We start from the raw sequence: 11,044 nt of genomic DNA, 5'->3' as shown, positions 1-11,044 counted from the left end.
TGTATTAGAAAATATAACTGAGATTTAAAAATGCTTATGCATTAATCGGCCCAGTGCCTTGACTTAAGCCTGTAATCCCAGCACATTGGGAGTCAGAGGCCAGCGGATTACTTGAGGTCAAGAGTTCGAGACCAGCCTGGCCAACATGGTGAAACCCCGTGTCTACCAAAAATACAAAAATTAGCGGAGCGTGGTGGGGCTTGCCTGTAATCCCAGTTACTCGGAAGGCTGACACAAGAGAATCACTTGAACCCAGGCAGAGGTTGCAGTGAGCCAAGATCGCACCACTGCACTCCAGCCTGGGCGACAGAGAGAGACTCCATCTCAAATAAATAAATAAATAAATAAATAAATAAAATAATACTTATGTAACATAAATGAACAGTTTTATGAAACATACTATACTTTTCCAAAACAGAAGCTGGGCGGAAAGAATTTCACCTGCTTGCCTTCTATTTAAAGACTGGCTTAACAAGACACCTGGAATTTCGTGTCTGCCTCTGCTTTTGATCTGCTGGAACATCCCATGTGCCCTCGCCTCTGGAAATCCCGAGTACACTAGTGAATAAAGCAAGTCATTTCTCAGGAGCACAGTATTAGGAAAATAGTTTTGAATTTATGGACCTCTGAAAAGGATCCTTAGGGCCTCGAGGGTCTCTGGACCATATTTTCAGAACCACTGGCCTAGGGTGATTTTTAAAAATTATTAGACTTTACTCTTAGATCAGTTTGAGACCCCAAAAGGCCCTCATTCTATTGTGCAGCCAGGGTTGGGAATCGCCACTGTCTGTTGTCTTATTGTCTAAAACGCATCTGCGATCCTCCCTGACCACCCCCAATGCCCCCACCCGGCTCCCGCTTTCAGAGCGAAGGTCGCCGCGCTCCTTCGTCGCGGGGCCCTCCTGGTGCCTGAGTCAGGTCCCATGCGGAACGTGGGCGTGCGGGGACAGCGGGAGACCAAGGCAAGGGCGACGGCTTCCGGGAAGCAGAATATGCTGCCATCACATCCTGGACCAGGTCAACTTCTGTCTGGACCACCGGCAGGAGAACGACCCCCTCCACGCCTGCCTCCAGTAGCCGCTGAAGTCCAACCGGAAGAGGCGCCTTGAGTTCCAGCAGCAGCTCCGGGAGGTCCCGGCCATGCCAGTCCCTAGGTTCCGGGTGCCCCGAAACAGGCCCAACCGTGTCCCCTGGGCCAGGCTCCGGCTTGGGCACTCACCTCTTGGCTTAAATACCTTCTCCAGGGCCAGCCTTCAGGGTACCCTGGTGGGTCTGCAGCCTGGGACAGCTTCCCACACCTTCCCACAGTCCCCTTTGCCTGTCTAAGCTGGTCCCCACCGCCTGGCATCCCCTTCTGGGGCCAGAGGTGGGCCTGAGTCCCACCCACGTGCCTGCCTGCTCAGCCTTCTGTGCACTTCCTACTCTGTCCAGGCCTTGAGCGTCCACATTCAATGGATCTCACACACACACACACACACACACACACACACACACACACACACATCAATCAATTGCATCGGGTGTCCTATCAAAAGTCCAAACTCCGGCCGAGAGCGGTGGCTCACGCCTGTAATTCTAGCACTTTGAGAAGCCGAGGTGGGTGGATCAGGAGGTCAGGAATTCGAGACCAGCCTGGCCAAGATGGTGAAACTCCGTCTCTACTAAAAAATACAAAAATTAGTCGGGCACGGTGGCGGACGCCTGTAATCCCAGCCGCTCAGGAGGCTGAGGCAGGAGAATTGCTTGAACCTGGGAGGCAGACTTTGCAGTGAGCCGAGATCGTGCCACTGCACTCTAGCCTGGGCAACAGAGAAAGACTCTGTCAAAACAAAACAAAACAAAACAAAACAAAACAAAACAAAACACCAAAAACAAAACGTCCAAACTCCTTAGCAGGGTAGAGTCCCTAAGACCTAATAGCCTTCTTTCTGTCTTGTGGTCCCAGGTCTCCAGGGACAAGCGTGGTGTTAGCCTGACAATATTCAACTGAAGTTCTCAAGCTTTTTCCTCTGTGCAGCACTGGGAGACTTGCAGCCCTCTGCAAAACTGTCCTCTTATTTCTACCTGAGTTCCCCAGGTGGGGCCCAATAAACCCTGCTAATAATTCTCCACCAAAAGATTGTCATTTTAAGGAGTGCAGAGAAAGTGTCTTTTTTACAGGACTATTGTCAGCACTTCCTTGCAAGTGGTAGCTCAGTAAACATTTATCGAATGAATGAATGAATGAATGAATGCCACATGAACACAGCCACAAAGATGCCGAGTTCACCATCAAGCTACTCTGTTGTTCTATGTCTTGTTTTATGGATTTTAAACATGTGCTTCTCCATTCTAACGACTCATTGAGTGGGGAGTGTGTGTGTGTGTGTGTGTGTGTGTGTGTGTATCTCACGGAACAAGCTTGTGAGCCTGTCTATTTCACTCTAAGGAAGTTCACCAAATATATGAATTCTTGTCAGCTGGGCCCAGCCAGCCCTCCGCATGTGCCCTGAGCCATTGAGGCAACTAGAGGGTGTCCATGTCCAGTCGGAAGGTTGAATGCTGGTTGGGTGCTGTGTGCTGGTGGCCTAGGACAGGGTCAGGTTAGGAATAGCAGTCCCTTTAGGATTGTTCCTTCTTCTACACCCCTCAGCTTGCATGCATGTGCAGGTGTGTGTGTGTGTGCGCGTGTGCATGCATATGTATGTGAGAGAGAGTGTATGTGTATGTGCATTTTGAACCATTTGAAAGTGAGCTAAAGATAGCATCCCCTCTGCCTAATATATATTTTGGTGTCTATTTCCAAAGAACAGGATATCCCTTTCCATAACCATAACAGTTACCCAAATCGGCACATTTAACTTGGATACAATACTTTCAATCCACAGACTGTATTTAAATGTTGCCAGTTTCTCCAGTGATATACTTTAGAGCTATGCTCCGTCTCTTCGGTCTGCTTTAATTTTGGACAACTCCTCAGTAGTTTTTGTCTGATTTGACCTTGGCATTTTTGAGAGGTGCAGGTCACTTTATGTTATAGCCGATATATCCATTTGGCACTGGTCATGTGAATATCTAAATAATAAGAAGTCCTGGTCCCACGTATAATGGGATAAGCACATGCCACTCATCTTGCTCAGCGGATGTCGCTATAAAACCTGAACATAAGGCACAGGGCAGCTGTGAGGACTCTGAAAAGTGACTCATAGAAGAGGACTGGAACTTAAAGTGCTGAAACTGCTGGTGATTTTTTTTTTTTGTCTGTTACTTTTATCCCTCGGCACTCGATGCAGATGCAGTTGCTGAAGTACACACAGAACCAAGTAACTAAAATTCCAGCTTTGTTGCCAGAAGACCTAAAAAGGGACTCCAGGGAACTAGAAAATCCTGGGAGCTCATGGAGAGGGAGGAGTTCAGAGAGTGGCCCACACAGTTGACATGGGTTTGACGAAATACACACAGGAGATGCTAAGAGTGGAGCAAGAGAGACTCAGGCCTGGACCAGCCATGGTGGGGCACATAACTGATCAATGTAAAAAACACTGCCAAGGCTTTTGTTTCTTTGAGTTCTTAAATAATTAATTAATAGACTATTTTTAGAGCAGTTTTAGGTTTTTGGAAAATTGAGTAGATGGTATCAAGTTCCCATATGCTCCTGCACCCCCCCACTCCCCTTATTATTACCATCTTGCAATGATGTGGTACATTTGTTATAATTGATGAGCCAATATTGTTATGTTATTATTCATTAAAGTCCATAGTTAAGTCCAGAGTTCACATTAGGGTTCACTCTTGGGTACATCCTATGGGTTTTGACAAATGCATAATGACATGCATCCACCATAGGGTACCATACAGAATACTTTTAACTGCCCTAAAAATCTCCTGTGCTAAGCTTGTGTGGTGGTGTGTGCCTGTGGTCTCAGCTATTCTGGAGGCTGCAATGGGAGATCCCTTGAGTCCCATAGTTCAAGGCTGCAGTGAGCTATGATCATGCTTCAGCTTGGGTGACAGAATAAGACCCCGTCTTAAAAAAATAAAAATTAAAAAATTGTCTCTCCTGTACCTATTCATCCCTCCCTCTACTCATCCCCAACAACCCCACCCCAGCTGAACCTCTGACAAACACTACTCTTTTTACTTCTCCATAGATTTGGCTTTTCCAGAATGTCATATCGTTGAAATCATACAGTATGCAGCCTTTTCAGATTGACTTCTTTCTTTATCAATATGCGTTTAAGGTTCCTCTATGTCTTTTTCTGTGGCTGGTTAGCTTTTTCTTTTTATTACTGAATAATATTCCATCGTCTGGATGTACTACAGTCTGTTTATCCACTCGCTGTTGAAGGACATCTTGGTTGTATCCAAATTTTGGCAATTATGAATAAAGTTGGCATAAACATTCTCATGTAGTTTTTTTGTAGAGACACAAGTTTTCAACTTATCTGGGCAAATATCAAAGAGCCTGCCTGCTGCTTCACAGGGTAACAATATGATTACTTTTGTAAGAAACTGCCAATCTCCCTTCCAAGTCAGCTGAACTGTTTTGCACAGGCTTTGGACTTGGAGTTATGCAAGGGTAAGCTGAAGTCTCTAAGAGGGCATGATAGGGCTGGTTTTGTGAGTTTTGGAAAACTACAAACATGATTCAGCTGCAACAGTGGGAAGGAACTGCCACTGCTGGGTGGAAGCGGCCTTGCTGGAGAGATGCTGGGAGGAGGAGGAAGTCCTCAGGAGGAACGGTCGGGCCCCTCTCCCTCCAGATTTGCGGCCTCACTCTAGCGTCCCCTTGCCAGGAGCATCTGGCCAAGCCCAACTGCAGTTTGCAGAGTCCCAGTGCTGGCATCACAAGGCAGGATATAGAAAGGTGGGTTTGGAGCCAAGAGAAAATCATTTAATAATGGCATTACTCCCAGCCCCCGCTGGGATAAGTCCCTATCTTATTAAAGCGATAACACAAAGCAGTAGTGAAATTAACAGCACTAGACATGCCACTTTCTCTCTGGACATCGGCATTTCTGTAGGGCAGTAATTTCTACGATCTAAGATTGCCTCCCTGCTGGACTCAGAAAAGAGGTAACAAAAGTGGGTAAGTTTCTATTTAGTCCTGCCAGTCCAGCCTTACTTGAATTGAGGCTGAGCCTGGAGAAAGCTAGATTCCTGGAAGCAGCAGTCCTGCAAACCCTGAGCAGCTGAGCACAAACCACAGCCTGTCTAACGTTCTATTTACATTATTGCCTGCCTTTTGTAATGGAGGGGGGCAGAGAATCACGACTCTGCTTTAAAGTTTCAGCAGAGCTCCCCACACCTCAGCCCCTGCCCGAAATTCACAGGTACATGACGCAAGTTTACAAAAACGGAAAAAAAGCAACCATTTGGTTTGAGCTGAATTGAAAAGCAAAACAAAACAAAAAAACCCTCAGAGTTTCTTTTGAAAATTATAATCCTTCTCTTTATCTCTCTACAATCACTTTCAGTGAGGCTCACGTTCATCTTTAACCTTTAATCTTCCGAAGTGTTCAAGGATGGACGCTAGTGACGAAGTGTCAATTTGCTGGTCTAACACGCCTCCTGGTGGTCAAAACTATCCAAGATCTTAACAGGTATTAGACAACTCCATGGCCTTAAATGAGCATGGAAAAAAGTATGAAGCCAGAATATGACACAACTGACTGAAAAAAAATACATGACACCATTTGTAGGGATAAAAATGTGTCTCTGTTTAGCAAGAAAAGCCACACCATAGGTGCTGTCATTCCATTTAAAAAATCAGATTATTCACATATTCTGGTAGTTTTTATTACAGCTTCAACTTCTAGCTTCTGTTTTGTGATATTTTGCCATGTCATACAGTTTTGGTTGCCATATAAGTAAGAAGGAAAGCCATTGTGGATTCACTTCTGAATATTAAAGATAAAATAAAGGCTGCATAGGGACCTATACTTTGATATAAAATAAATGTTCTTTATTGTTCAATAAGCCCTACTTATTTTCTCCTCCTGTCAAGGAAAATTTAAAGATAATTAAATAAATTAAAATTCATTGACCTATAGGTTAATAAAGTCCATTAATATTCCTACTGTTTATAAGAGCTTGAGAGATAAGCCAAATGATTGATAGTCTATGATATAGTATCTTTCTGGAATCATCCTCTGTAAATTTCCACAAGGAGGATTTTCTTTTCTTTTTCAAAAATCACTTTATTGAGGTAAAATTAATATGTATAAAGCTATACATAATTAAATGTCTAGACCTCTCGAAGTTTCTTCTCACCCCTATTATTATTATTATAAGAACGCGTCATATAAGCTCTACCCTCTTAGAGAATCTTAGGAATGCAATACTGCATCATTAGCTGTTGGCACTATCCTGCACCACAGTCTCCAGAACCTACTCCTCTCGCCTGGCTGAAACTTTCCACCTTTGATCAACACCTCTGCTTCCCCCCGCAGCCCCTGGAAACCACCATTACACCCTTGACTTTTACAGTTTCACTATTTTGGATTCCATGTATAAGTGAGATCACGTGATATTTGTCTTTCTGTGCCTGGCTGATTTCACTTAACATAATGTCCTCCAGCTCCATCCATGTTGTCACAGATTACAGAATTATCTTCCTTTTTGGAGGTTGAATAATACTCCACTGTAAGTGTATACCACATTCTTTTTATCCATGCATCACAGATGGGATTTAGGCTCTTTCTACTATACCTTGGCTATTGTGAATAATGCTGCTATGAGCATGGGGTCAAGTATCTCTGTGAGATCCCAAGAGTCCTGGTCTTCCCTCTGTGATGACCCTGCTCTGGGTATTTTACTGGGAGAGCAGAGAAGAATGGAGTGGAGAATGTTCTTGACTGAGTGTTACCATTGCAGAGGCTAGGAGTTCAAAGAACCAAAATTTAAGTCTCAACTTCAAATCCCAGACCCAGCTTTCACTTATGTGTGGAAATTGGAATATCATTATTCATCTCCCGTTCTTTTCTACACTGTCTAATAAGAACAGTGGCTACCTAACAGGGACATGGCTCCTTGAGAGCAGGAATCTTGTCTGTTTCTAGCTACTGGTCTGCCCCTAGTGCCTGAGAACTGAAAGCAGATGGCCTTGGTAAACAATATGGAGAACAAGCAAAAATGACTTACCTGCAATGCTGAGAACAAGCAAAAATCACATCCAGGAATTTCTCCTGAAATTAAGACTCTGCACCAATTACATTGTTTCCTTATCAAGACTAACACTAGTTCATTTCACTTCCTTCATCTTGCTGTGCTACCAATCTATAGTTGGTCAGAAACTCTGCCCAAACCCAGTGGCTTCCCACCTTCCAAAATCGACCTTAAAAATTACTACCGCCTTCTCACTAAAACCCAGTAAACATCCTTTCCTGACTTCCCCGTTCTGAGACCCTATGCTCAGAGGCTCCCCCAACTGCCCTCCGCAAATGCAGCAGGTGAAACAAATTTCGCTTTGCTGGATCAATAGTCTTTTCTGGTGTTTCTGCATGTTCAAGAGTAGACATATCTAACTCACAGTAAGCCCTGGCAAACATTGGTTTCCTTGCCTTCCTAGACCTTTCCTGCAAATGAATGGCCTTTATAGGACAGGCCACGAGATGACCCTCATGGTGGATCCTGTTGCTGTGACTTACCAGGTTCATGACCTTGGGAAATTTGCCAAACCTCTCCAAGGTTTAGTTTCTTCTCTGTCAAGTGGGGATCAGTAATAGTCCACATCTTACATATTTTCTATAAGGATTAGAAGAGCAAAGTCACATTCTAAGTTTTGGTTGTTATTCCTCAAAATTAATTTTCTCCTTTGGAGTCTATCTAACCAACCAGGCTGCAAAGGAAGAGCAGGCATTTCAAGGATCTTTGACTTTCATAATTATCCACGAAGTTTTACTCTAAAGAGACATCCAAAGACCCAAATTAAATTCTAGGTTAACTTATAGCCAACCTGGAGACACACAGTCCCCCAAACCTCCACACTGTCCAGGCAGTGAGCACACAGATGGGAATAGATTCAAATAGGTGGAAACATTCTGAAGCCCAAAGATAGGGGCAGTGATGGATCTGAATTTCCCCAGAAAGCAAAGCCTCCAGGAACAATTTACACGACTTGGCCAATAGAACCCTTGATGGTAGCTTTAGTTTTGTAAAATGGAGGTTTGAGGAACCATTCCAGAATGTGTACCCATCCATGTCCAAGAGAATGCTACAGCCTGTGGAGTAGCTGGGTTTGCACTTCCAAACAAGGTCGTGTGGGCCTAGGATGTGTAGCCTTTTCTACAATGAGCTTTGTGCATTAGAGTTCTGGTGCCTCTGTCCTTATTCCAGAAAGTACAGCTTATTCACAACTTGTCAGAAAGGCCTGGCCCCCAGAACTCTTGGCTTGAGGTTGTGACGTCTAAGTTTAATGTAAGCTCTAAGAACTAACTACCAAGTTGAAAGTCAGAGAATTCAATGGAAACTGGCAGAGCATCTGGAGACTTTACCTGAGGTTCCGCAGTCTCAGCGGGACCAACATAATCCTGATATTCTCTCCTAGGAACTGCAAGGTCAAGCTCAGAAATATCTTTTCCCACTCAAACCCACCCAACAAGAGAGCTGTACTTGACAGCCAGGTTCTGGGGGTTTCCCAGAAGGTTATTAAACAATTTAAGAAGTAAAAATTAAGAAATAAATAAATAAAGGAAGAAAAAAATACAGGGAGGAAGGACAAAGGAGAAAGAGAGAGAAAGAGGAAGCAAAGTCAGGGAAACAGAAAAAAAGAAGGAAGGAAAGAAAAAATGAAAGGAGGGAGGAAGGGAGGGACAGAGAGAGGCAGGGAGGGAGGGAGGAAGCTGGGGACTTGATTAAGAATATCTAGAGTTCCTATTAGTAGTATTTGATTCTTACAACAAGCTGGCAGTTGGTAGAAAGGACACTTTTGCAATAGAACCTCTGCTAAAGACAGATTTGTTAGTAGAGGTGAAAAGTCTCCCAAAAGCCCCTTTCCCATAGACCCATTCAGTGAATCTGGCATAGAGAATTTCAGATTCCCCATGAAACCCAAAAGCAATTATCTGAGATTAGCAGGAGATCAGAAACAGCTTACCTCAAGTATTGTTTTCTAAACCCAGAGGGCTGGAGAAATTATTATCTGGTAAGAATTCTAAAAACTCTGAAACTGGTAACATTTGTTCAGACTGGAGGGAGAAATATAAGACCATGACAGGACAGACATACCATTGATAGCAGAATATGGTTGGAATGGACTTTTCTGAGATCTGTTTTCATTTCTGAAAAGTGCACAAGGACCCCAATGAGAGCTCTGTCTTAGCTCTTGGATAACTTCTCAGCACCAGGTGGATGAGAGAAAGGTTTGTTGAGGCTCAATACCAAAAAATTGATGTCTGGAAACAGCTCAGTGATGTCTGCTTACATCACATGGTCATGCTTCAGATATTTCAAAAAGACTGTGCTGTTGGAAGGAGAGCACGTGGTCTTTTTTTTTTTTTTTTTTTTTTTGAGACTGAGTCTCGCTGTATTGCCCAGGTTGGGCTCACTGCAACCTCCATCTCCCGGGTTCAAGGGATTCTCCTGCCTCAGCCTCCAGAGTACCTGGGATTACAGGTGCCCACCACCACGCCCAGCTAATTTTTGTATTTTTAGTAGAGACAGGGTTTCACTATGTTGGCCAGGCTGGTCTCGAACTCCCAACCTCAAGTAATTCGCCTGCCTTGGCCTCCCAAAGTACTGGGATTACATGTGTGAGCCACTGCGCCTGGCCCCACACAGTCTTTTAAAGTAAACTAACTCAAGCCTCTGAAAGATAGCAAAGGAACAGTAAGTATTGGGCCAGATATGAAATTAGTCATTTAATTGTGATAAATTCCTTTAATTTAAATATCATCGCATGTATATTTTATGAGATAAGATGAGATTTGCAAGTGAAAGTCTATAAAAATGGTAAAGAGCTAAGAAGAATTAAGGTCATGAAGGTTTCTAAATGTTTTCCAGGCCACCGACGACATGAATAGTTTACTTATAACCATTGACATGGTACTTCTGGTGAAATTAGGACCACTCAGAGTGTTCTCTTATTTCAGATCAGGCATCACTTGGTTTAGATATTGGACTCCTGACAGCCCTAGTGTGGCATGAAATGCCTGGTGACCGATGCACTCTAACAGTGTGCTTCTTCCAGAGGAAGCAAGGTGGTGGTCCCCTGGCCCCCAGCTGATTCTCCAGGGCAGGCAGGGGACTGACTTCAAGCCGGTCCTCTGAATTCCCCAACCTGAATGGAAATAACATTTAAATCTAACTCCTAGACTGGCTTTTCTGGCTAGAAGAATCTCACCTGAAAATCTCTTTTATCTCAATAACAAAATATCAGATCACGTTTATTATTGTATTTACAGAAATTACAGATTTGGGCAGACATTTATTATATTTGGTGTAAGCTGGCAATTGAGAGGCTGTGGGTTGGTTTTGAAGTGGGCTCTAACACAGATGTTGTTCTATGGAGCCCCCACGTGGACACGCATAGGTATAACCGCTCTGCAGCGCACCCTCATCTTAAGGAAAAAGGTCCCGTCTGTGTCTGAGGGTGTCTCCTGAGCCATCAGGAGAAACATGCACTGTGCTGTGATGGAAAGGATTGCCATTCTTAAAAGCCAGACCTCACGGAATCAGAGTTAACACTGACGGGTGAAAAAAAATGGGCTGAACCTAGGTGAAATTGGCATTTTCAGCCACACATTCGTGTAGGATTGAATATGCTCTTCTGCAGCCGATTCCTCGCACAGTCCGACATTCCCCACTGGCCGCGTTCTGACTGGCGCACCTGCGTTCTCACCGTGACCAACCTGTTTGCATCGTGGAGTAGATGATCTGTTCCTTGAGCAGACCTTTTCCTAGAACGTAGCAATCTCTCTAGAGTTGAAAATAAGTTCTGCACATGCTCACTTCATCCAGTGCACATTTGATCTTCTGAACAACAGCATTAAACAGCTTTTGCTGTTTTGTAAGATTTTTGGAAGATAATTCAATACTCTAAATCAATCAGGTGTTGGCAAAATAC

General features: G+C 44.0%; 1 pseudogene, besides 1 other annotated feature; it reads left to right on the top strand.

Moving 5' to 3' along the window:
- BBLNP1 (BBLN pseudogene 1) lies at positions 914 to 1,151 on the top strand (annotated as a pseudogene).
- Positions 10,379 to 10,673: an enhancer, noted in NCBI's record as "tiled region #5495; K562 Activating DNase matched - State 12:CtcfO". NCBI's record gives its function as "activates a minimal TATA promoter and a strong SV40 promoter by Sharpr-MPRA in K562 cells {active_cell/tissue: K562}" and the evidence as "EXISTENCE:reporter gene assay evidence [ECO:0000049][PMID:27701403]".

This window comes from Homo sapiens, chromosome 20 (genome assembly GCF_000001405.40).
Source record: "Homo sapiens chromosome 20, GRCh38.p14 Primary Assembly".
Lineage (NCBI taxonomy): Eukaryota > Metazoa > Chordata > Mammalia > Primates > Hominidae > Homo > Homo sapiens.
This window is presented reverse-complemented; position numbering and strand designations above follow the sequence as displayed.